A 23962-nucleotide genomic window follows, 5' to 3' on the forward strand; every position below is an offset into this window, starting at 1 on the left:
CCGGCCTCCTCTCCCGCCGGCCCGCCGCTCATCGCGGGGCTCCGCCCCGTCTTAAAGGGATAGTGCCCTTGAGACTCGGATCTCAGCCTCTCAGGCGAACCCGAACCTGGACGCGCTACGATGAGAGCGAGTTCGAGTCCAGGCTCCACTGGCTGGGTAGAAAAGCATCCGAGGCTCGTCTTTCTGAAAAGGGGAACACGGCACTAGGGGACACGCCACCCATGTGGCTGACGGGAGCACAAAATTGCTGTCCACCTAAGGGAGCCTGGTGGTGCATGAGCACTCGGCGGCCGGAACACAGCGGGGGCGGGGCGGTCGCGGCGCCTCCACTTCCGGCCAAGGCGGGTCCTCCCACCTCGGGGACGGTGCTGGAGGTCACCTTTTCCTCTCCGCTGATGCCTGGGAAGGCAGAAAGAGCAGAGGGCCCTTTTCCTCTCTCAGGGGCTTTATTGAGATGCAGTTTACATACCATAAAGTTCTCCTGTTTATTTCGTTTTGTTTTGTTTTTTTAGAGACAGAGTCTCACTGTGTCGCCCAGGCCGGAGTGCAGTGGCGTGATCTCAGCTCACTGCAACCTCCGCCTCCCGAGTTCAAGCAATTCTCCTGCCTCAGCCTCCCGAGTAGCTGGGACTACAGGCGCCCGCCACCACGTCCGTCAAAATTTTTTTTTGTATTTTAGTAGAGATGGGGCTTCACTGTGTTGCCCAGGCTGGTGTCAAACTCCTGAGCTCAGGCAATCCGCCCGCCTCAGCCTCCCAAAGTGCTGGGATTACGGGCGTGAGCCACCGCGCCCGGCCAAATTCGCCTGTTTAAACTGTAAATTCAGCCTGGGCGCGGTGGCTCATGCCTGTAATCCCAGCACTTTGGGAGGCCGAGGCGGGCAGATCACTTGAGGCCAGTTTGAGACCAGCCTGGCCAACATGGTGAGACCCCGTCTCTACTAAAAATACAAAAATTAGGCTGGGTGTGTTGGCTCACGCCTGTAATCCCAGCGCTTTGGGAGGCCGAGGTGGGTGGATCACGAGGTCAGGAGATCAAGACCATCCTGGCTAACATGGTGAAACCCTGTCTCTACTAAAAATACAAAAAGAAAAACAAAATTAACCAGGCATGGTGGCGGTTGCCTGTAGTCCCAGCTACTCAGGAGGCTGGGGCAGGAGAATGGCATGAACCCGAGAGGCAGAGCTTGCAGTGAGCCGAGATCGTGCCACTGCACTCCAGCCTGGGCGACAGAGCAAGACTCTGTCTCAAAAAAAAAAATATTGTTGAGAGAGAAGGAAGGAAGGAAGGGACAGAGAGAGGGAAAAGGAAAGAAAGAGAAAGAAAGGAAAGAAGGAAGGAGAAGAAAAAGGAAGGAAGGAGAGAGAGAAAGAAAAAAAAGAAAAAGGAAATAAAGAGAAGAAAGTAAAGAAGAAAAGGGAGAAAAGAAAGGAAAGGAAGGAAAGAGAAGGAAGAACGGAAGAAAGGAAGGCGAGAGAGAAAGAAAAAGAAAAGAAAGAGGAAGAAAGAAAAAGGAAAGAGAAAGAAGGAAAGAAAGAAAGAAAAGGAAAGGAAGGAAGGGGCCAGGTGCGGTGGCTCAAGCCTGTAATCCCAGCACTTTGGGAGGCCGAGGTGGGCGAATCACGAGGTCAGGAGATCGAGACCATCCTGGCCAACATGGTGAAACCCATCTCTACTAAAAAAGGAAGGAAAGAGAAGGAAGAAAGGAAGGAAAGAAGGAAGGAAGTAAAGAAAAGGAAGGAAGGGAGGGAGGGAGGAAAGGGCCAGGCACAGTGGCTCACGCCTGTAATCCCAGCACTTTGGGAGGCCAAGGAGGGAAGATTGCTTGAGGCCAGGGTTCAAGGCTGCAGTGAGCTACAATCGCACCACTGTACTCTAGCCTAGTCAACGTAGGGAGACCCTGTCTCAAAACAAACAAGAAAAAAAACAAAGGAATCACCGCAGGAGAGGATTCTGGGCCATGGTGAGCCATGTTCTGGGGCTGGACATTACTGCTGACCCCCGGCCATTCCCTGCTGTTCCCACTGCCTGGGGTCCCTGGGCCTGGGCGGACTCTTTCTCCGTGGCCGGCTGCATTCTCCATGGACTGATGTCCGGGGACCCCAAGCAGAAACCACCTGAGCCCTGGGGCCTCGGGCCCACCCTGCTCCAGAGGAGGCCACAGACTGAGCACCTTCTAAGCAACCTTTATTTGCAAACTCTGAGGTTGGACGCGGTGCCCGAGGCGGACAGTGTCACGTTTCTCTCCCTCCACTTTCCCCTGGCTTTTGGGGTGCTCCAGCCTCTCCCCCCAGCCCACTCCCGCCCAAACCCAAAATGCAGAGGAGACTTCTCTCTCTCTCTCTCCCGCCAGGCTTCGGGGTTCCACGGGGCCCATCCCTGGCAGGCCAGGCGTCGGGTGCTGGTGCTCGCTCCTCTGGGGCCAGCCTGGGGAGGCAGCATGGCAGCAGTGCCTGTCAGGGACCCAGGCGGGGGCAAGGTCGCTTTCTGAGCTGACAACTTCAGGTTCCAGCTGGCAGCCAGACCTGGGGTTTGGTGGGGGTGGCCCTGGCACGGGAGAGCCAGGCGTATAGTGGGAGGTCCATGGACATGCCGCAGAGGACGGGGCCTCCGAGGGTCACGGCCAGGAGGCTCAGCACCATGGCCGAGGCTGGGCAGCGGTGGTGGGGACAGGCGGCAGCTCTAAGCCGGGGGCGGCTGTCGGGGGTGGTGGGTCCCATGCAGGAGCCCTGCTGCTGGTCCAGCGTGGAGGATGGGGGACAGGAGGTGCAGTCCCTCGGGGAGCCGCCGCGGCAGGTGTAGCAGGAGGCATGGCAGCTGGAGCAGACCCTCAGCGCGGGCGCCGCCGTGTGCCCAGGCCCAGCGGTCACCAGCCTTGTGTGGTTGAAGAACCGCGGGGGGCAGTAGGCCAGGCAGAGCTGTCCCAGGATGTAGGCGGGGCCGTCACACGCTGCTCGGGGACACGCACGCAAAGGCCCGTCAGCTTGCCACCCGCAGCCTGTTACTCGCCACCCGCCCGCCTGGGGCCACATGCACGCTGCCCACGGTGGCCGCCACCGCCTCCCAGCAGTGGGCCCTGCCCCGCCGGCACTCACCCTGGCACAGCCCCTCTGTGTCCCGCTGCACACACGCGCTGCTGGTCACCTGGGGGCCTGTAGGCCGCGCTGTCATGTCCTCGGCCGTCCCATAGAGCAGCAGCGTGTAGCGGTACAACGTCCCTGGACAGGGGTCGCGGGTGGGCACAGGAGGAAAAGGAGGCTCTCGGCAGCCTGGTCCTGGTAGTCCCCGGGCTCCCTCCCCTTCAGCTCCCACGCGGGGCCCTGGACTGGTTCACATCTCTCAGGGAATTGCACACCTACTGTGCGCCTGTCACTGGACACCGACATCTCCCGGGTGACTGCACACCTACTGTGCGCCTGTCACTGGGCACCTACATCTCCCGTGTTACCGCACACCTACTGTGTGCCTGTCATTGCACACCATCTCCCGGGTGACTGCACGCCTACTGTGTGCATGTTCTCTTGGAGAAGGCCACTGGGAACCCCTTTTGCAGTGCGGTCACCAAGGCTAGCTCCAGAGCCCCTGGGGGGAGGTTGGAGAGCCAAGCCCCGCCCACCACAGCCCCGCCCCGCCCTCACCCGTGTTGAAATAGTAGCCCTTGTTCTCTAGGCCCAGGGTCCACACGCCCTGTGGGTTCTCATCCCAGAAGTGGGTGGACATGAAGACCCAGTTGTTGTAGCCTTCAGTGCTGACGTCCAAGGGTCTGGGACAGAAGGGTGGGTGGGGGTGGGGGTGTCAAGAGGGATGGCTTTGTGAAGCCGGCAGAGCCCCATGAAGTGTCTGACCGCACGCGCTGGTGGCCGCGTGTCCTCTGGGTGTGGGTGAGGGTGTGACTCGGGGTCCCACCAACTAGGCTGCCGTGTGACTCCTATGGGCCTGGCCCCTCCCCGTGAGGACACTCCGGGTAGATGGCAGCGTTTACCGACAGGGCATGAGGCCGCCCCCTCTCCTCTGCGGGCCGCTCACCGTATGGCCACGAGTGTGGAGCGCGTGCCCATGGGGCTGGTGAGCGAGATCTCCAGGTCTCCGCGCCGGCTGTAGGACAGCGTCAGCTGCGCCTGCACGTGCTCCAGCGAGCGGATGGAGTTGTGGAGGCCGGCGCAGGCCGATACGTTTTCCCTGATGTAGATCAGCGGCAGGATGGGGCTGAGGGGGTCGAGGGGTGAGGACCCTCCTGCGGCCTGCTGGGGGGTGGGTGGGCGGCCAGCAGGCGAGGTCGGGGCTCAGAGGTCACGGGGTCCAGCCCTCGTTTTACAGATGGGTAAACTGAGGCCTCAGGCCTGTCCCCCACACCCCCAGCGGGGATAGCGGAGGGGCGCGCAGGGGTCTCACGTGGGGCGGCTCTGGACCCGGACGGCGCACTTCCTCTGCGGCTGGGTGGGCAGCCAGGTGCGGGCGGTGTCCACCAGCAGCCCGGCGTCCAGCAGCCCGTATCCGTAGTGATGGCTCACTGCGCGGAAGGGCAGCAGTCACTCGCCCCGTGGGCCCCGGGTCCCCGCCCCCGCCCGGCCCCGCCGCACCTTGGCGCCCCACGCCGTTGGTCCTCCAGTCCTCGGCCTGCAGGTGCGCCGGCTTGGACGCGCGGACCACCAGGTGCTGCATGTCTCTCCACGTCAGGAACGGGCTGCGGGGGGCGGGGGCGGGGGCGGGTGAGCCGCCGGGCCGCGCCTGGGGGCGAGGGCGGTGGACCGGGCCCCGCAGTCACCTACTTGGCCTCCAGCGCTAGGGCGATCATGCCGGCCGCCAGTGGGGCTGAGGCCGAGGTGCCCGTGTGCTGGTCTGTGCACCCGTGATGCAGGTCCGTGGTGACCTGAGGGCAGAGGGGGGTGGGACTCGGGGGGCCGTGCACAGTGAGAATACAGCCCTTCTTCAAAAAGTACCAAGGACTGGGCGGGCGCAGTGGCTCAGGCCTGTCATCCCAGCACTTTGGGAGGCTGAGGCGGGCGTGTTGTCTGAGGTCAGGAGTTCAAGACCAGCCTGGTCAACATAGTGAAACCCCAACTCTACAAAAATACAAAAATTAGCCAGGCATGGTGGCGGGCACCTGTAGTTCCAGCTACTCGGGAGGCTGACACAGGAGAATCACTTGAACCCGACAGGCAGAGGTTGCAGTGAGCGGAGATCACACCCACGCCACTGCACTCCAGCCTGGGCAACAGAGCCAGACTCTGGATTAAAAAAAAAAAAGTACTAACGACTGAATTCAAAAAGTACCAAGGGCTGGGTGCGGTGGCTCACACCTGTAATCCCAGCACTTTGGGAGGCCGAGGTGGGTGGATCACCGGAGGTCAGGAGTTCGAGACCAGCCTGGTCAACACCTTGTCTCTACTAAAAATACAAAAAAATTACCCGGGTATGGTGGCGGGGCACCTGTAATCCCAGCTACTTGGGAGGCTGAGGCAAGACAATCACTTGAACCTAGGAGGCAGAGGTTGCAGTGAGCCAAGATCACACCGTTGCACTCCAGCCTGGGCAACATGGCAAGACTCCATCTCAAAAAAATAAAAAAATAGTACCAAGAACTGAAGTCAAAAAGTACCAAGGACTGGCCACACAGTGGCTCACGCCTGTAGTCCCAACACTTTGGGAGGCTGAGGCGGGCAGATTGTTTGAGCTCAGGAGTTTGAGACCAGCTTGTGGCAACATGGTGAAACCCCGTCTCTACAGGAAAAATACAAGAATTAGCTGGGTGTGGTAGTGTGCACCTGTAATCCCAGCTACTCAGGAGGCTGAGGCAGGAGGATCGCTTGAGCCTGGGAGGTAGAGGTTGCAGTGAGCTAAGATTGCACCACTGCACTCCAACCTGGGTGACAGAGTGAGACTCTGTCTCAAAAAAATTTAAAAAAAAAGGTACCAAGGACTCCAAGGACTGAGTTCAAGAAGTAACAAGGACTATGCTCAAAAAGAACTAAGAGCCTGGCCAACATGGTGAAACCCCGTCTCTACTGAAAATACAAAAAAATTAGCCGGGCATGGTGGCGTGGCCTGCTATTCCCGGCACTTTGGGAGGCCGAGGCTGGTGGATCGCTTGACCTGAGGAGTTGGAGACCAGCCTGGCCAACATGGTGAAATGCCATCTCTACAAAATATACAAAAGAAATTAGCAGGACATGGTGGCATGCTTGTGGTCTCAGCTGCTCAAGAGGCTGAGGCACAAGAATCGCTTGAGCCCGGCAGGCGTAGGTTGCAGTGAGCTGAGATCATGCCACTTCACTCTGTTGCACCCAGCCTGGGTGACAGAGCGAGACTCCATCTCAAAAGAAAAAAGAAAGTGCTGGGCACTGTGGCTCACACCTGTAATCCCAGCACTTTGGGAGGCCGAGGTGGGCGGATCACGAGGTCAGGAGATCGAGATCATCCTGGCTAACATGGTGAAACCCTGTCTCTACTGAAAATACAAAAAATTAGCCGGGCATGGTGGCGGGCACCTGTAGTCCCAGCTACTCAGGAGGCTGAGGAAGGAGAATGGTGTGAACCCGGGAGGCGGAGCTTGCAGTGAGCTGAGATCGCGCCACTGCACTCCAGCCTGGACGACAGAGCCAGACTCCATCTTCAAAAACAAACAAATGAAAAGAAACCCTGGGCTGAAGTGATTCTCCCACTTTGGCCTCCCAAAGTGAGCTGTTGCGCCCGGCTGGATTTGTTTTTGTTTTGTTTTGTTTTGTTTTGTTTTGAGACAGGGTCTCGCTCTGTGGCCTAAACTGGAGTGCAGTGGTGCAATCTTGGCTCACTGCAACCTCCATCTCTGGGGTTCAAGCGATTCTCCTGCCTCAGCCTCCTGAGTAGCTGGGATTACAGGCGCCCGCCACCATGCCTGGCTAATTTTTTTTTGTATTTTTAGTAGAGATGGGGTTTTGCCATGTTGGCTAGGCTGGTCCTGAACTCTTGACCTCAGGTGATCCACCCACCTTGGTCTCCCAAAGTGCTGGGATTACAGGCGCGAGCCACTGTGCTTGGCCTGGATTTGGGTTATTGATTGATTGATTGATTGATTTTTGAGACGGAGTCTCACTCTGTCGCCCAGGCTGGAGTGCAGTGGCCCGATCTCGGCTCACTGCAAACCCTGCCTCCCGGGTTCATGCCATTCTCCTGCCTCAGCCTCCCGAGTAGCTGGGACTACAGGCGCCCACCACCACGCCCGGCTAATTTTTTGTATTTTTAGTAGAGACGGGGTTTCACTCTGTTAGCCAGGATGGTCTCGATCTCCCGACCTCGTGATCCACCCGCCTCGGCCTCCCAAAGTGCTGGGATTACAGGCGTCAGCCACCGTGCCTGGCCTTTTTTTTTTGTAGTTTTAGTAGAGACAGGGTTTCACCATGTTAGCCAGGATGGTCTTGATCTCCTGACCTTGTGATCTGCCTGCCTTAGCCTCCCAAAGTGCTGGGATTACAGGTGTGAGCCACCGTGCTCGGCCTGGATTTGCATTTTCAAAGCAGCTTTGGGAGGGTGCTAAGTCACAGTGGTGGGGACAGGAGGAGGCCAGGCTGGGATGGCAGGGCCTGGGGAGGGGACCCTGTTGGGGCGGCTGCACTCACGATCTGGGGGTCGGTGGCCACGCCGCTGCTGTAGGTGGTGGTGAGGGTGGAGGCGCAGGCTTCGCTGTACCAGGGCACGCGGCCCTGCTGGGTGGTGCTGCCCACGGAAAGCGTGTGGATGCTGTTGGTGTAGCCGTCGCAGTTGCAGTTGTCGTAGTGCAGGCCGCCGTTGCCCGAGGCCCAGATGAAGAGCGTGCCCAGCCCGCCGCGGCCCTGGGAAACCAGGAGGGGCGGGGAGGGGGCGTCGGCCTGGCCTGCCACCCCTGCCCTCCTCGGGCTGCCACTCACCTTGGTCACACCACGCCGGAAGGCCTCGCGGGTGAGGATGCCGGGGCCGTCCACCGTGCGGCCGTCGTCCTCGGGACCCCAGCTGGCGCTGTAAATGTGGATGTGCTGCGGCTGCAGGCTCAGCGACTGGGCCTCGATGACATCGGTGATGGTACCGTCCAGCATCCGTACGCCTGCAGAGCCAGGGCGGGAGGGCCGCTGCCACCGGCCCTGCCCTTCCCCACACCCCAGCCCGCCCCGCGCCACTCCACACCACTCCCCAGCCCTACCTGGGCCCTCTCTCTGCTCCCTGGAGTGGGACCATTCGTATTGGCTCAGCACCCCCCAAGCCCTGGAGTCTGGGGCCCTAGCACCACCCAGCAGTGAGAGGGTGGGCTCCCGAGTCCTTGGGCCCAGCTCCCCGCCAGAGTCACCCCCTTCCCTCTCTGTCCCGGAATGGTGCCGCTGGGGGACCCCGGGTACCTCCGATTCGGGCGTTGAAAGCGACCCCCACACCACAGAAGCCATTGTTGGCCATCGCGGCCACCTCCCCAGCACAGCGGGTCCCGTGCCTGGTGCCAGGGCCAAGAGGGGCTCCTGTCACGGCCTCCATCCCCCTGCCGGGTACTGGGGCTTCCCCCGTGTGCTGTGGGAGCCCTGCTCACCGGTTCTCTTTGCTGGGGGTGTAGCGGGGCTGGGGGTCCGGGTCGTAGTCATTGAAGTCATAGCTGGCCAGGGGGTCCTGGGGGCAGGTGGGGATATGAGGGGGCCGGGAGGCGTCCCTAGGGTGGTGCCAGCCTCGGCACCTGGGGCAGCCCTCGCCCACAGCCACCCGCGGTCTCACGTAGTTGGCCCAGAGGTCCGGGTGGTCCTTCTCGATGCCATCGTCCAGCACAGAGACCACGATGCCCTGGCCTGACAGCCCCTGACTCCAGGCCTGCAGGATGCTCAGGTCTGGTTGGGCCTCGCTGTTCTGCAGGGGGAGGCGGGGTTGTGACCCTGTGAGGGCCTGGAGTTGAGGGCGCCAGCGGCCCCGTCCCCGTCTACCCACCCTGGCTGCCTGCTCACCATGTACCACTGCTTGGAGAACCAGGGGTCCGTGGGCACCACGACAGAGCGTTTCACCCGCCGCTGCAGCGTCTGCTGCTGGAACCACTGCACCTGCAGAGCAGAGGGTGCATCAGGCCTGTCCCCTGCTCGCCCCTGGGGCCCCTCGTGGTTCAGGGAGTGAGGCAGCCCCGTGCCCTGGGACCCTGTGTTTGTGGGGGTTGCTCTCCAGGGTCCCCATGTGCCTGGGGCTCTGTCTGCAGTCGGAAGGGGTCGAGGCTTTTGGACCACCTGTCCTTGGGCCCACAGACGCGTCGTTGCTGCCGCGGGTGACTGCAGGTCCCCGGGTCCCCACCCCACTCTCTCCCCCATCCCTGTTCTAGATCCTTCTATCTCTCTCCTGCATCACTTCCTTATTTTTTTTCTTTTTTTGAGACAGAGTCTTGTTCTGTCGCCCAGGCTGGGGTGCAGTGGCGCAATCTTGGCTCACTGCAACCTCTGCCTCCTGGGTTCAAGCGATTCTCCTACCTCAGCCTCCCAAGTAGCTGGGACTACAGGCGCACACCACCATGCCCGGCTAATTTTTGTACATTTAGTAGAGATGGGGTTTCGCCATGTTGATCAGGCTGGTCTCGAACTCCTGAGCTTAAGTGATCTGCCTGCCTTGGCCTCCCGAAGTGCCGGGATTACAGGCATGAACCACCACGCCAGGCCTGGCTTCTCTCTTGCAAACCACATCAGGAACTGGCCACTGCTCTCCCTCCCGGTGCTGTAAGCAGGCAGCTGTCCAGTCCTGTTCAAGGCACTTCCTGGCCTCCGAGGGCTTCCCAGGCTCCATCCCAACCCCTCAGCTTGACATCCCAGGCATTTTCTAGACAGGGCCCAGCCCGATGGGACCCAGGCCCCTTTCTGAGCGCCTGGACACTGCGTCCTGAGGGCCACTGGGTGACTGTAAGCCTCCTACTTTTTTTTTTTTTTTTTTTGAGACGGAGTCTCGCTCTGTCGCCCAGGCTGGAGTGCAATGGCGCGATCTCGGCTCACTGCAAGCTCCGCCTCCCGGGTTCACACCATTCTCCTGCCTAAGCCTCCTGAATAGCTGGGACTACAGGCGCCTGCCACCATGCCCGGCTAATTTTTTTGTATTTTCAGTAGAGACAGGGTTTCACCGTGTTCGCTAGGATCTCGTCTCGATTTCCTGACCTTGTGATCCGACCGCCTCCGCCTCCCAAAGTGCTGGGATTACAGGCGTGAGCCACCGCGCCGGGCCAAGCCTCCTACTCTTTGGAACCCATTACGGTGTCGTAAAATCCCCTTCCCTCCATCCCATGACCTAGACGGTGGGGAAGTCACGCCGTCTGTCCCTCCTTACCAGAGCCCCTGGGGCCCAGAGGAGGGAGGGGGAGGACAAGAGGTGCCCACTGTGTACCAGGCCCTGGCAGGCGCCATGATTTCCGTATCTGGGTCTTCCTGCCTCCTCTTGCTGTATAGACTTGGGGCCCGGGCGGGTCTGAGCCACAGAAAGCACACAGCTGTTCATAACAACCACGAGAACCACAGAAGATGGCTGGTGGCCCCAGGAGGCAGCTGAGACCCCGGGCAGGGGGTTGGCCTCCAGGCCAGGCTCACCTTGGGGTTTTTCTTCAGGTGCAGGCGGTGGCCCCAGTGCGGGGTCAGGGACTGCTGGACCACGCCCCGGTGCCGCAGGTGAAAGTACTGCCCGTCAGGGAAGATCTGGGGATGTGGGGAAGCGGCCGCACCGATGGGACCCGGCTCCCCTGCTGAAGCCCCCGAGGGCCGGTAACAGCCCCCTTCTTTGTCCTTCCCCAGCAGGTGCTCTCTGGGAGTCCCAGAAGCTGAGCTTGGCTGAGGCAGGGGTGGGCTGGGACTCTTGATATTTAGAAGACCTTGTGGGCTCCCTCCCCCTTGTCGGGGTCTAGGGTTGTTCAGTCCCCTCCAAGCCCCCACTTCCCGTCTATCCCGGTCCCACCCACCGGCCCCAGGTTGACGAAGCCGAATTTGCGTGCCAGGCGCTCGACCTCCCGGTTACCCTGGGACACCTGGACGGCCCAGCTGCTGACATAGATGGGGGCTCGGACCGGGGCCCACCCCACAGCCCGGGGGCGGACAAGGGCCAGGGCCAAGACCAGGCGCAGCCACAGCGCAATCGGGGCGGGCCGCATGGAGGCGGGGCGGGAGCGGGGCCTGCGCAAATCCCCTCCCTCCCGCCAAACCGCCGAGTGGGCCCAGGCGTCCGACCCGCCCCCGGCGCCATAGCAACGCAGAAGGCTTCGACTCCCAGGGGGCCTTGCGGCTACTCAGCCAGGAGGGGCGCGAAGATCTAACAGAAGCGGGAGAGGGACGCACGCCTGCCCGTCTTCCGCAGACCCACACCCTCGGGAGCCTCAGTTTTCCCATTTGTACAACGACAAGACTAACCCAGAGAAGCGGGTTCACTGTTGCGATAACGCGTCCTACCCTTTGTTTGACCTCTCCCACTTTCCAACACACCCCTCCTTCGAGAATCAGCCCGGCCTCCTGTCCGGCCTAATCAGAATCATTCTTTTGCGTAATCCCGCCTCCTCCGATAAGCCTCGCCCCGTTCCCGCCCCTACCATTCCGCCCTGCCTCCTTTGTGATCAGCCCCGCCCTCCACTGGTCTCGCCAATGAATCGCGTCCCGTTTCTCCAATCGGCTCGGATGTTTCTTTAGCCCCTCCCCCCGGTTCCGCCCCCCCACGCCTCTCCTCGCCCTGGCTCCACCCTTCAGCCAATAATCCCATCCTCTGACACCGCCCTTCCAATCAGCTACGTCTCGCTCCGGCCCGGCCAATCGGTGCCCTGGGCCGCCGCGCCCCGCCCTCTCCCGGCGGGGTCTGGGCAGCGGCGGCCGTGGCGGAGGGCTATGCGGCGGGGGAGACGGGGCAGGCCCCTCCTCCTTTGTCCGCCCTGCCCTCCCATTGGTCCTAGCGGGGGGCCGGGGGCGGACACCGGCGCGGGGCCGGAGCATCGCGGCTCAGGCTGCGGGAAAGCGGTGCGCGTGCAGCGGGGTGGGTGCCCTGGTCCGCGGGCGAGCTCGAGCAGCCAACCCCGGGCGCGTCGGGGCCATGGACGGCCTGAGGCAGCGCGTGGAGCACTTCCTGGAGCAAAGGAACCTGGTCACCGAAGTGCTGGGGGCGCTGGAGGCCAAGACCGGGGTGGAGAAGCGGTATCTGGCTGCAGGTGAGCCGTCGGCGCTAGCCCGTTTCGCCGACGGGCACACCGAGGCCATGGGCCTGGGGGTCGCAGACCGGACTCCTTCCCCGGCTACGGGGTCCGGTCCGGCCGGTGGAGCGCGCGAGGTGACTGGGACCTCGAGGTCCGCCCGCAGCCCTTCCCTTGCCCGCGCCCTGCGACCCTGCTCCCGGGCCACCCCTCTCTAGCTTCCGCCCCTGGCCGCCCCCCGACGCCTCCTTCCGGGCGCTGGGTGCCTGCCATGCCGAAGTCCGGTTCTTCCAGTTGCCCAGTGGCCCCAGAGGGGTCGGGATGCCAGTGTCCTGCGCGTTTCGCCGTCCCCCTTCCCCCGTGGACCCCGGCCTGGCTGCAACAGTAGAGATCTTCCCGTTTTTCTGAGGGGAGGCTCCTGGCGGGAAGGGGAACGGACCGTCCTGGGGGCCTGCCCAGGACCCTTCTCCTTTCCTCCTCCTCTCCTGCCCTAGCTCACCTTCCCCCAGCTCAATGGCTTAGTGCCACCGAGCGTAAATGTTTGTTAAGACGGAGTTGGGTTGTCTGACGGCTGTGATGTGGGGAGGCTGGACTGGGGCCCACAGAGCCGGAGATCCAGGCACCCCGATTGTGACTCCATTACAGTTCTTCCGTGACTTTCACCCTTGGTGACGCTGCGCGCCCCTTCCCCTTTCCAAATCTCTAGCAAGAGCATGTAGTAAACGCTCCTTAAATGCCTCCCTCCCCACCTTTAAAACTTTTTTTTGAGACCGAGTCTTGCTCTGCTGCCCAGGCTGGAGTGCAGTGGTGTGATCTTGGCTCACTGCAACCTCCACCTCCTGGGTTCAAGCGATTCTCCTGCCTCAGTCTACCAAGTAGCTGGGATTACAGGTACCCACCACCATGCCCGGCTAACTTTTGTATTTTTAGCCGTTCAACATGGTGAAACGGGGTTTCACCATGTTGGCCAGGCTGGTCTTGAACTCCTGGCCTCAGGTGATCTGCCCACCTCGGCCTCCCAAACTGCTGGGATTACAGGCATGAGCCACCTTGCCTGGCCTAAAACTTTTTAAAATTAACTTTTTTAAGAGACAGGGTCTCACTATGTTACCCAGACTAGTCTTAAACTTCTGGGCTCAAGCGATCCTCCTGCCTCAGCCTCCCAAAGCTCTGGGATTACAGGTGGAAGCCACTGCACCCAGCCTTTCTTCCGTTTGTGTGGTGCTCCCAGCCCCACTGGCTCTGCCTTCTCTTCCAGGAAGCTCCGCAGAATGACTCACAAGGACTTGCTCTGGGCCTGGGGTATTCTGGGTAGAGGACAGTGCCACTTTTTTGAGCACCTTCTGCAGGTGGATCCCAGGAGTCCAGTTCCCCCCCAATTTTCCCACCATCTGGGGGTTCCCATGCCAGGCAGCGCCAGAACAGTCTGAAGTCTGTGCCCACACCCTGGAGGTCCCCAGGTGCCTGGTCCCATGTGCAGCGCAGCAGGTGGCATGGGCATGGCCCGGCTGTGCCTGCCCCCGGGAGCAGGTCCCTGACCTCTGCCCTCCCTTTCCACATCCCTGGGGCTAGTGGGCAGGAATTTAGGTCGTAGAGCGCCCAGGAGGCAGGCAGCAGGGAGGGGCTGCCTGGGGCACCGTGTCACCAGAGACGAAACTGAGGCACAGGGAGGCAGGGGCTGCCTCTGTGCCTGTTCTGTCTGAAGCATACAGTCCTCCACCCTGCCCACCCCCAGTCCCATCTGCTGCTAATCTTGGGGGCTGGGCCTCCCTCCACAGTTCTGATGTCCAAGGTCATCCTCCCGTCGCTGAAGCTGCAGGAAAAGGGATTTAGGGGAGGGACGCCCTGGGAGAGTCATTCCTCCCCACGAGCCAGGCCCGGGGAGAGATGGCAGTCCCTCATCCCCATCTCCCACCTCCTTTAAATTGACAAATCCCACACCCCTGGGTAACATACGAAGAAACTCAGAGGGGACAGTGACTGGGAGGCCACTCCTGGGACCAGCTGGGGGACTCCTCCTACCCCTGACCTTGGGTGCTTTTGGATAAAGACTAAAGCAGGTGGGAGGGGCTGGGGGGACTTGGGCCTCTGCCCTTTGGTCCAGAAGTGGCCTCTATCTCACTCTGCAGATAGCAGCCCCAGGGGAGGAGGAAGAAGGCTGTCCAAGCTCTCTGGAGCACATAGGTTCCCTGTGTGACCTTGGGCAACACCCACCCACCCCCAGTTTTGGCTGTTGAATAATTCAGGAAAAGCACAAAACCTGGCACACAATAGGCGCTTAATAAATGCAGCTGTCGTAGTCATTCTTTTCAGAGCCAGGTTCAGGATTGGGGCTGAGCTGGACACACACACACACACACACACACGTTTTTCTCTGAACACCCTCCTTGCTGGGACTGTGTTATAGTTGCCTGAAGGCACTTAATAAATGTGCAGAAAGGCTGATGGCGGTGGCTCACGCCTGTAATCCCAGCAGTTTGGGAGGCCAAGGCGGGCGGATCACCTGAGGTCAGGAGTTTGAGACCAGCCTGGCCAACATGGTGAAACCCCGTCTCTACTAAAAATACAAAAATCAGCTGGGCATGGTGGTACGCTCAGCTACTCAGGAGGTTGAGGCAGGAGAATCACTTGAGCCTGGGAGGCGAGCTTGTAGTGACCTGAGATTGCGCCACTGCACTCCAGCCTGGGTGACAGAGCAAGACTCCATCTCGAAAATAAATAGAAATAAACGTGCAGAAAGGCGTTCTCTCTGTTAACTTGTAACCATAGGAGGCAGGGGCCATTACTACTCCCACTTACCAAGGGGGAAACTGAGGCTCCATGCAGCCACAGCCTCACTCAGTGCCGGCTGGTGAGTGCACACCCGACCAAAGGGCTCTCCTCCACCCAGGGGATCGAGATGCTGGGGTTTGCTGCCTCCAAGACAGGAGGTTCTCAAAGGGGGTAGCCCTGCCCCCCACCCCGCCCCAGGGGACACTGGGTGATGTCTGGAGATACCTGTAGTCGTCATGACTTGGGGGCTGATGGCATGGAGTGGGCAGAGGCCAGGGACACTGCTCAGCACCCTGCAGTGTCCAGGACAGCCACTTCCCCCTCTCCACCGAAAACAACCAAGAATGACCCGGCCCTGAACATCAGCAGTGCCAAGGCAGAGAAACCCTGCGCTAAGATAACAGATGAAACAGTTGCCTTTCTCAGCTCTAGAATCAAGTCTTCATGACAGCCTGGCCTCCCTTGCAGGTTTCTGCCATCCCTTATATTGAAACACTGGCCTGTTTTCCCAGTGCCTCCCAAAGGGCCTGGAATGAGATGGCTATCGTTGCAGATTACACTTTTTTTTTTTTGAGACGGAGCCTCACCCAGGCTGGAGTGCAACGGCGCGATCTTGGCTCACTGCAAGCTCCGCCTCCTGGGTTTACGCCATTCTCCTGCCTCAGCCTCCCCAGCAGCTGGGACTACAGGCACACACCGCCATGCCTGGCTAATCTTTTGTATTTTTAGTAGAGATGGGGTTTCACCGTGTTAGCCAGGATGGTCTCCATCTCCTGACCTCGTGATCCACCTGCCTCGGCCTCCCAAAGTGCTGGGGTTACAGGTGTGAGCCACCGCGCCCGGCTGCAAACACTTCACTGGGCAGCTATTCCGCACCCACCCCCACTGCCCAGCGTCGAGCTCCTGCCTGCCCTTGGGGAGCTCTCAACCCCGGTGGGGGACATGGACACGTTGACCAGTTACAGGCACAAGGCTCAGGGCCTAGAGGCACGATGGGGGATGTACAGGCACATCAGGGGCAGTGGACATATCCTGGAGGCGGCTCCTGGGAGGAGGTGACGGTTGCAGTCTTCGTCGACTGAAAGGCGGCCTGGGTACCGTCGTGGGGGCTCAGCGGGTCCCCAGCCCTGGCACACCACCGCCTCTCTCCGGCAGGAGCCGTCACTCTGCTAAGCCTGTATCTGCTGTTCGGCTACGGAGCGTCTCTGCTGTGCAATCTCATCGGATTTGTGTACCCCGCATATGCCTCGTGAGTGCACGGCTGGCTGCCCACGCGGGGGGTTCTGGGGGCTCCCTGGCAGCCCCTGACCCTGCTGCACCCTCCCTGCAGAATCAAAGCTATCGAGAGCCCAAGCAAGGACGACGACACTGTGTGGCTCACCTACTGGGTGGTGTACGCCCTGTTTGGGCTGGCCGAGTTCTTCAGCGATCTACTCCTGTCCTGGTTCCCTTTCTACTACGTGGGCAAGGTGGGCCCTGCCAGGGCGGGCACAGCCGTGGAGCGCATGGGGCTTGGGGATTCCTGGGAGGCGCTGGGGCCAGAAAGTCCGGAGGATACCAGGAGATGGGGGATGTGAGGGGAAGACTCAGTCCCTTCCCTGGGGAAACGAGCCCTGTCCGGGGGCTGATGGTGGAGGGCCCACCCTGAAGGGTGTCTGATGGTGGAGACCCAAGCCTGCTCCAATAGGATGTCCGATGGTGGAGGGCTCACCCTACAGGATGTCTGATGGTGGAGGGCCCACCCTGAAGGGTGTCTGATGGTGGAGACCCAAGCCTGCTCAAATAGGATGTCTGATGGTGGAGGGCTCACTTAAAGGGTGTCTGATGGTGGAGACCCAGGCTTATTCCAATAATATGTCTGATGGCACAGGGCCCACCCCTAAAGTGTGTCTGACGGTGGAGACCCAGGCCTGTCCCAGTAGGACGTCTGATGGTGGAGGGCTCACTCTAGAGGGTATCTGATGGCGAAAACCCAGGCCCATCCCAATAGGACGTCTGATGGTGGCGGGCCCACCCTAAAGGGTGTCTGATGGTGGAGACCCAGTGCCTGTCCAGGATGGGCATCTGGTGGAGTGGTGCAGCCCCTCTCCCCACCAGGGGCACAGAGCTGGGTGGGCCCGCGTGTAACTCCTGCCCCGCCCTGCAGTGCGCCTTCCTGTTGTTCTGCATGGCTCCCAGGCCCTGGAACGGGGCTCTCATGCTGTATCAGCGCGTCGTGCGTCCGCTGTTCCTAAGGCACCACGGGGCCGTAGACAGAATCATGAACGACCTCAGCGGGCGAGCCCTGGACGCGGCGGCCGGAATAACCAGGAACGGTGGGTGCTCGCAGGCGCCTGGCTGCCTCAGGCCATCTCCCGGGTCTGGACCTGTCTCTCTCCACCTTGCCTCCCTTTCTGACTTTGGCCGCCCCCTCTCACTGTCCGCCTCTCTCTCTCACGCTTCCGGGAACCAGTCTTGCAGGTCCTGGCCCGTAGCCGGGCAGGCATCACCCCGGTGGCTGTGGCCGGGCCCTCCACTCCCCTGGAAGCTGACCGTACGTAACCGCTGTGGGGAGATAGGAGCTGTGTGTGTGTGTGTGTGCGCGCGCGCGCGCGTGTGTTTGAGCGTATGTTTGCTGTGTGCACATGTATTATTGTGTGTGCATGTTTTGTCATGTGCAAGAGGGTGCGTGTGCATGGGCTCAAGTGTATGTTTGGTGTGTGAGTGAGCAAGGGAGTGAGCATGTTTTCTCACGTGTGCATATGTGTGTGTGTGCCCACGTGTGCATGTGAGTATATGTGTGTGCGTGTGACCATGTGTGCACGTGTGAGTGCGTGCGTGTGCATGACTGCACATGCGTGTGCTCTGTGTGCACCCATCTGTGCATGGGTGACCATGAAAGCCTCTGTGTGGTTGACACCATCTCTGCTGAGGGTGGCTGCCCGGCCCCTCGACTTGTCATGCTCATAGCCAGTAGCCTCAGTCCCGCCTGCGAGCAGCTCCGGGGAGCCCAGGCCTGCCTCACGGCCCTCCCCCACCCGCCCCTCTCTCTGCAGTCAAGCCAAGCCAGACCCCGCAGCCGAAGGACAAGTGAAGCAGCCCCCTGAGCCTCACAAGGACCTCCTGGCTGGTGAGGAGGGGGCCGCGCCAGGCTCCCAGGCCTCCACAGAGTCTTCAGCGCATCCCCCAACAGCAGCCCCTGCCAGTCCCTCGGGTCCAGGCAAGGCCCTGGGGGTCTCCTTAAATGCCACCTCGGGCAAGTCCCAGTCCCAGTCCTCGGCCACCCCCAGCTCTGGATCCCAGGGCCAGCTGCCCTCTGGCTCTGGCTGTGGCTCCCGCCTGTCCGGCAGGGCCCAGGGCCAGCGTCGGGCACAGGGCAGCTCCCACTGGTCTCGGCAACACACCCAGCCGCCTGGTACTTCCTCCAGCCCCTCCCAGTCAGCCCTCCCGTCCTCGGGGCCCCTGCAGCCACCCAACGTCACCTCCAGCCCGGTCTCACCCATGGTCCAGTCTCCCAGCAGCAGCAACATCCCCACGCAGCCCCCCAGCAAGTCCTCTGGCAAGCCGGAGGACGCAGCCCCCAAGACCAGCGGACAGCGCCAGAAGGAATCGTCGAAACAGCCTGCCAGCAGCGCCTCAGTGCCCGAGCTGGTCCCCTGCCATTCCGGGACCTCTCTGGAGTACACTTCGGAGTCCACCACCGAGATCACCTGCAGCTGGCCACACCACAGGCCCCCGTGCCTGCAGCACTACTGGTGCCTGAAACACCTGGCCTGCTAGGAGGCTCCAATAAAGCTAACCCGGACCAGACCTGTGTGCCACGTGTGCGGGGGGCCCAGGGGAGGGGCTGCGAGGGCACCGTCCCATTTCATCAGGCATGAATCCCGGCTGTGCCGACCAGCCCCATAATATAGATGAGGAGACTGAGGCCCAGAGGCTAATTCACCCACTCAAGGTCCACCCACATGGCCAGGATGGGTGCAAGCCCCGGAAAAGCTTGTCCTTAATCACAGTGCTTTCTCTCCTCCCTCCCGAACTAGTTGTCTGGCCTATTTGCATTAGCCTGCTTCTCTTAAAACTCCCCCATTTGGGTGCGGTGGCTCACACCTGTAATCCCAGCACTTTGGGAGGCTGAGGCAGGTGGATCACCTGAGGTCAGGGGTTTAAAACCAGCCTGGGCAAAATGGTGAAGCCCCATCTCTACTAAAAATACAAAAATTAGCCAGGCATGGTGGTACATGCCTGTAATCCCAGCTACCTGGGAGGATGAGGCATGAGAATTGCTTGAACCCAGGAGGCAGAAGTTGCAGTCAGCTGAGATTGCGCCACTGCACTCCAGCCTGGGCAACAAATGAAACTCCATCTCCAAAAAAAAAAAAAAAAAAAAAAGTGAGTAGGATAAACCACAAACCCTGATATATTTTCCCAAGGGGCCATAACTCAGTTATTCTCAACCCAGAACAGTTTTGTCCCCCGGCCTTTGGGTCTTGTCTGGAGACACTTTTTTTTTTTTTTATTGATCATTCTTGGGTGTTTCTCACAGAGGGGGATTTGGCAGGGTCATAGGACAATAGTGGAGGGAGGGTCAGCAGATAAACAAGTGAACAAAGGTCTCTGGCTTTCCTAGGCAGAGGACCCTGCGGCCTTCCGCAGTGTTTGTGTCCCTGGGTACTTGAGATTAGGGAGTGGTGATGACTCTTAACGAGCATGCTGCCTTCAAGCATCTGTTTAACAAAGCACATCTTGCACCACCCTTAATCCATTTAACCCTGAGTGGACACAGCACATGTTTCAGAGAGCACAGGGTTGGGGGTAGGGTCACTGATCAACAGGATCACAAGGCAGAAGAATTTTTCTTAGTACAGAACAAAATGAAAAGTCTCCCGTGTCTACCTCTTTCTACACAGACATGGCAACCATCCGATTTCTCAATCCTTTCCGCGCCTTTCCCCCCTTTCTATTCCACAAAACCGCCACTGTCATCATGGCCCGTTCTCAATGAGCTGTTGGGTACACCTCCCAGACGGGGTGGTGGCTGGGCAGAGGGGCTCCTCACTTCCCAGTAGGGGCGGCCGGGCAGAGGCGCCCCTCACCTCCCGGACGGGGCGGCTGGCCGGGCGGGGGGCTGACCCCCCCACCTCCCTCCCGGACGGGTCGACTGGCCGGGCAGAGGGGCTCCTCACTTCCCAGTAGGGGCGGCCGGGCAGAGGCGCCCCTCACCTCCCGGACGGGGCGGCTGGCCGGGCGGGGGGCTGACCCCCCAACCTCCCTCCCGGACGGGGGCGGCTGGCCGGGCGGGGGGCTGACCCCCCCACCTCCCTCCCGGACGGGGCGGCTGGCCAGGGTGGGGACTGACCCCCACCTCCCTCCCAGATGGGGTGGCTGCCGGGCAGAGACGCTCCTCACTTCCCAGACGGGGTGGCTGCCGGGCGGAGGGTCTCCTCACTTCTCAGACGGGGCGGCTGGGCAGAGACGCTCCTCACCTCCCAGACGGGGTCGCGGCCGGGCAGAGGCGCTCCTCACATCCCAGACGGGGCGGCGGGGCAGAGGCGCTCCCCACATCTTAGACGATGGGCGGCCAGGCAGAGACGCTCCTCACTTCCTAGATGGGATGGCGGCCGGGCAGAGACGCTCCTCACTTTCCAGACTGGGTAGCCAGGCAGAGGGGCTCCTCATGTCCCAGACGATGGGCGGCCAGGCAGAGATGCTCCTCACTTCCCAGACGGGGTGGCGGCCGGGCAGAGGCTGCAATCTTGGCACTTTGGGAGGCCAAGGCAGGCGGCTGGGAGGTGGAGGTTGTAGTGAGCCGAGATCACGCCACTGAACTCCAGCCTGGGCACCATTGAGCACTGAGTGAACCAGACTCCGTCTGCAATCCCGGCACCTCAGGAGGCCGAGGCTGGCAGATCACTCGCAGTTCGGAGCTGGAGGCCAGCCCAGCCAACACAGCGAAACCCCGTCTCCAAAGACCTTGTCTCCAAAAGAAAAACAGTGGTCAGTCAGGCATGGTGGCTCACACCTGTAATCCCCAGCACCTTGGGAGGCCAAAGCAGGTGAATGACCTGAGGTCAGGAGTTCGAGACCAGCCTGGCCAACATGGTGAAACACTGTCTCTACTTAAAAATACAGTAATTAGCCAGGCGTGGTGGGACATGCCTGTAGTCCCAGCTACTTGGGAGGCTGAGGCAAGAGAATCACTTGAGCCTGGGAGGCAGAGGTTGCCGTGAGTGGAGATGGTGCCATTGCACTCCAGCCTGGGCGACAGAGTGAAACTCCATCTCAAGAAAATAAAAATAAAAAGGCTGGGTGCGGTGGCTCACGCCTGTAATCCTAGCACTTTGGGAGGCCGAGGTGGGTGAATCACGAGGTCAGGAGATTGAGACCATCTCGGCCAACATGGTGAAACCCCGTCTCTACTAAAATACAAAAAATTAGCTGGGCATGGTGGCGTGTGTCTGTAATCCCAGCTACTTCGGAGGCTGATGCAGGGGAATCGCTTGAACCCGGGAGGCGGAGGTTGCAGTGAGCCAAGATAGCACCATTGTACTCCAGCCTGGCAACAGAGCAAGACTCTTTCTGAAAAAAAAAAAAAAAAAAAGAGTGTTCCAGGCAGAGGGCACAGCCTGTGCAAAGGCCTTGAGGCAGGACCACGCTGGTGAGTGGGAGGCACAGAGAGGAGGCTCCTGTGGCTGGAGCAGAGAAGGGGAGGAGGGAGGAGGGGAGGAGGGAGGAGGGAGGAGGGGAGGGGGGAGGAGGGGAGTTTTCGGGGCTGCACCACACAGGCACTGGGGGCGGGGGGTGCACTTTGTCTTTTTTTTTTGAGACAGAGTTTCACTCTTGTTGCCCAGGCTGGAGTGCAATGGTGGGATCTCAGCTCACCGCAACCTCTGCCTCCTGGGTTCAAGCAATTCTCCTGCCTCCACCTCCCGAGTAGCTAGGATTACAGGCATGCGCCACCACACCCAGCTAATTTTGTATTTTTAGTAGAGACAGGGTTTCTCCATGTCCGTCAGGCTGTTCTCAAACTCCCAAACTCAGGTGATCCACCTGCCTTGGCCTCCCAAAGTGCTGGGATGACAGGTGTGAGCCACTGTGCTCGGCCCGGGACTTTGTCTTTTACTCGGGGTGAAGGATTTATCAGAGCAAAGGGCAAGGGTAATCATTAATCACCCCCCACCCTGTGTCGGTGATCACACGGGGATGGCAGACGGGGCTCTCAGAATCTGCCGATCACTGGCCCAGCTGGTTTGAAGAATGTGGTCTGGTCATGGCCCTGAGGGAGGAGAGAGGGTGCCAGGCTCGCTCTGCACCTGGCATGGTCCCTCACTTTCACTGGCGGGGAGCAGCAAAACTGGCTCTGGCCTGCCCAGGTCAGCACACCCAGGGAGCACAGGTGGGGAGGAGGACACACTTGTCTTACCAGGTGGAAATGTGACCTTTAGCCCCTCAGGCATTTTATTTTATTTTTATTTTGTATTTTTTAAATTTTATGTTTGAGACGGAGCCTCGCTCTGTCACCCAGGCTGGAGTGCAATAGTGCAATCTTGGCTCACTGCAACCTCTGCCTCCCGGGTTCAAGTGATTCTTCCACCTCAGCCTCCCCAGTAGCTGGGATTACAGGCGCGCACCACCACGCCCAGCTAATTTTTGTATTTTTAGTAGAGACAGGGTTTTGCCATGTTGGCCAGGCTGGTCTTGAACTCCTGACCTCAGGTGATCCTCCTGCCTCGGCCTTCCGAAGTGTTAGGATTACAGGCGTGAGCCACTGTGCCCAGCTCTTTTTATTTATTTACTTTTATTTTTATTTTCTGAGATGGAGTCTCTCTCTGTCCCCCAGGCTGGAGTGCAGTGGCACGATCTCAGCTCACTGCAACCTCCGCCTCCCGGGTTCACGCCACTCTCCTGCCTCAGCCTCCCAAGTAGCAGGGATTACAGGCATGCGCCACCATGACCTGCTTTTTGTATTTTCAGTAAAGACCGGGTTTCACCATGTTGGCCAGGATGGTCTCAATCTCCTGACCTCGTGATCCACCCGCCTCGGCCTCCCAAAGTGCTGGGATTACAGGCGTGAGCCACCGCACCCGGCCTTTATTTTTTCAAATAGATAGGGGGTTTCACTCTGTTACCCAGGCTGGAGTGCAACAATGCAATCACAGTTCACTGCAGCCTCGACCTCCTGGGCTCAAGCAATTCTCCTGCCTTAGCTTTGCAAAGTGTTGGGATTATAGGCATGAGCCACCACAGCTGGCCTAAAGGGGTCTTTAAACAAATGGAGGCCGGGCTCGGTGGCTCATGCCTGTAATCCCAGCACTTTGGGAGGCCGAGGCAAGCGGATCCCCTGAGGTCAGGAGTTAGAGACCAGCCTGGCCAAATGGTGAAACCCTGTCTCTACTAAAAATATACAATTAGCCAGGCGTGGTGGCTGTTGCCTGTAATCCTGGCTATTCAGGAGGCTGAGGCAGGAGAATTGCTTGAACCCGGGAGGTGGAGGTTGCAGTGAGCTGAGATTGCGCCATTGCACTGCAGCCTGGGTGACAAGAGCAAAACTCCATCTCAAACAATAAATAAAAATAAAAATAAATAAAAGAAGGAAAGAGTGGCAGCCAGGTGCAGTGTCTGACACCTGTAATCCAGCGCTTTAGGAGGCTGAGACAGGAGATTCGCTTAAGGCCAGGTATTCAAGCCCAGCCTTGGCAACATAGAGAGACACCATCTCTACAAAAAAGAAAAGAAAAGAAAAATTAGCCACACATTGTGGTATGCACCTGTAGTCCTAGCTACACCAGAGGCTGAGGCAGGAGGATCACTGGAGCCCAGGAGGTTGAGGCTGCAGTGGGCTGTGAATGCGCCGTTGCAATCCAGCCTGGGAGACACAGTCAGACCCCGGCTCTAAAAAAATAAAAATAACAAAGATAACAAAACGTTCGCTTGTCGGCTTTAAAGCTAAAGCGCAAATCTGGAGACTGTTTATTGCCGATGGTTACGTGGTTCTCACTGGAAACAATGTTGTCATTTTCAAATCACGCTGGGGTCCTCTCGCCCACGCAGGAATGGCGTGCTCCTGGCGGTGGGGGCTGTGGGACACCTGGTGCGCGTTTCTCC

General features: G+C 59.8%; 2 protein-coding genes across 28 annotated transcripts, besides 6 other annotated features; one reads left to right on the plus strand and one right to left on the minus strand.

The window, feature by feature from the left end:
- Window positions 5-124: an enhancer, noted in NCBI's record as "active region_13614". NCBI's record gives its function as "activates an Ori minimal core promoter by ATAC-STARR-seq in GM12878 lymphoblastoid cells {active_cell/tissue: GM12878}" and the evidence as "EXISTENCE:reporter gene assay evidence [ECO:0000049][PMID:35858748]".
- PCSK4 (proprotein convertase subtilisin/kexin type 4) lies at window positions 2171-11619 on the minus strand. 26 transcript variants are annotated; one of them, XM_011528088.3, is made up of 16 exons: window positions 11522-11612; window positions 10536-10640; window positions 10336-10416; window positions 8931-9023; window positions 8707-8835; window positions 8528-8604; window positions 8346-8434; window positions 7884-8056; window positions 7596-7808; window positions 4770-4870; window positions 4581-4684; window positions 4393-4510; window positions 4027-4206; window positions 3639-3763; window positions 3096-3218; window positions 2171-2950 (listed from the first exon to the last, which is right to left on the minus strand). In XM_011528088.3, the coding sequence occupies exons 1-16, from the start codon at window positions 11522-11524 to the stop codon at window positions 2502-2504; spliced, it is 2163 nt and encodes a 720-aa protein (XP_011526390.1). In that variant the 5' UTR covers window positions 11525-11612; the 3' UTR covers window positions 2171-2501. The 26 variants fall into 26 exon arrangements, with proteins under 26 accessions (XP_011526390.1, XP_024307323.1, XP_011526388.1 ...); XM_024451555.2 differs by lacking the exon at window positions 11522-11612 and adding an exon at window positions 11346-11452; XM_011528086.3 differs by lacking the exon at window positions 11522-11612 and adding an exon at window positions 10901-11093 and having other exon boundaries at window positions 4027-4179.
- Window positions 2967-3578: an enhancer, noted in NCBI's record as "H3K27ac-H3K4me1 hESC enhancer chr19:1482223-1482834 (GRCh37/hg19 assembly coordinates)". NCBI's record gives its function as "activates a minimal SCP1, AML or CMV promoter by ChIP-STARR-seq in naive and primed H9 embryonic stem cells {active_cell/tissue: H9 hESC(naive and primed)}" and the evidence as "EXISTENCE:reporter gene assay evidence [ECO:0000049][PMID:30033119]".
- Window positions 10833-11262: a silencer, noted in NCBI's record as "silent region_9722". NCBI's record gives its function as "represses an Ori minimal core promoter by ATAC-STARR-seq in GM12878 lymphoblastoid cells {active_cell/tissue: GM12878}" and the evidence as "EXISTENCE:reporter gene assay evidence [ECO:0000049][PMID:35858748]".
- Window positions 11483-12022: a silencer, noted in NCBI's record as "silent region_9723". NCBI's record gives its function as "represses an Ori minimal core promoter by ATAC-STARR-seq in GM12878 lymphoblastoid cells {active_cell/tissue: GM12878}" and the evidence as "EXISTENCE:reporter gene assay evidence [ECO:0000049][PMID:35858748]".
- REEP6 (receptor accessory protein 6) lies at window positions 11924-18670 on the plus strand. Of its 2 annotated transcripts, NM_001329556.3 has the most exons (6): window positions 11924-12127; window positions 16037-16130; window positions 16212-16350; window positions 17028-17196; window positions 17334-17414; window positions 17917-18670. In NM_001329556.3, exons 1-6 carry the CDS (start codon window positions 12013-12015, stop codon window positions 17952-17954), a joined length of 636 nt encoding a protein of 211 aa, NP_001316485.1. In that variant the 5' UTR covers window positions 11924-12012; the 3' UTR covers window positions 17955-18670. The 2 variants fall into 2 exon arrangements, with proteins under 2 accessions (NP_001316485.1, NP_612402.1); NM_138393.4 differs by lacking the exon at window positions 17334-17414.
- Window positions 12053-12172: a silencer, noted in NCBI's record as "silent region_9724". NCBI's record gives its function as "represses an Ori minimal core promoter by ATAC-STARR-seq in GM12878 lymphoblastoid cells {active_cell/tissue: GM12878}" and the evidence as "EXISTENCE:reporter gene assay evidence [ECO:0000049][PMID:35858748]".
- Window positions 17762-18316: an enhancer, noted in NCBI's record as "H3K27ac-H3K4me1 hESC enhancer chr19:1497018-1497572 (GRCh37/hg19 assembly coordinates)". NCBI's record gives its function as "activates a minimal SCP1, AML or CMV promoter by ChIP-STARR-seq in naive H9 embryonic stem cells {active_cell/tissue: H9 hESC(naive)}" and the evidence as "EXISTENCE:reporter gene assay evidence [ECO:0000049][PMID:30033119]".

The sequence above is a fragment of the Homo sapiens genome, chromosome 19 (genome assembly GCF_000001405.40).
Source record: "Homo sapiens chromosome 19, GRCh38.p14 Primary Assembly".
NCBI classification, from domain to species: Eukaryota; Metazoa; Chordata; class Mammalia; order Primates; family Hominidae; genus Homo; species Homo sapiens.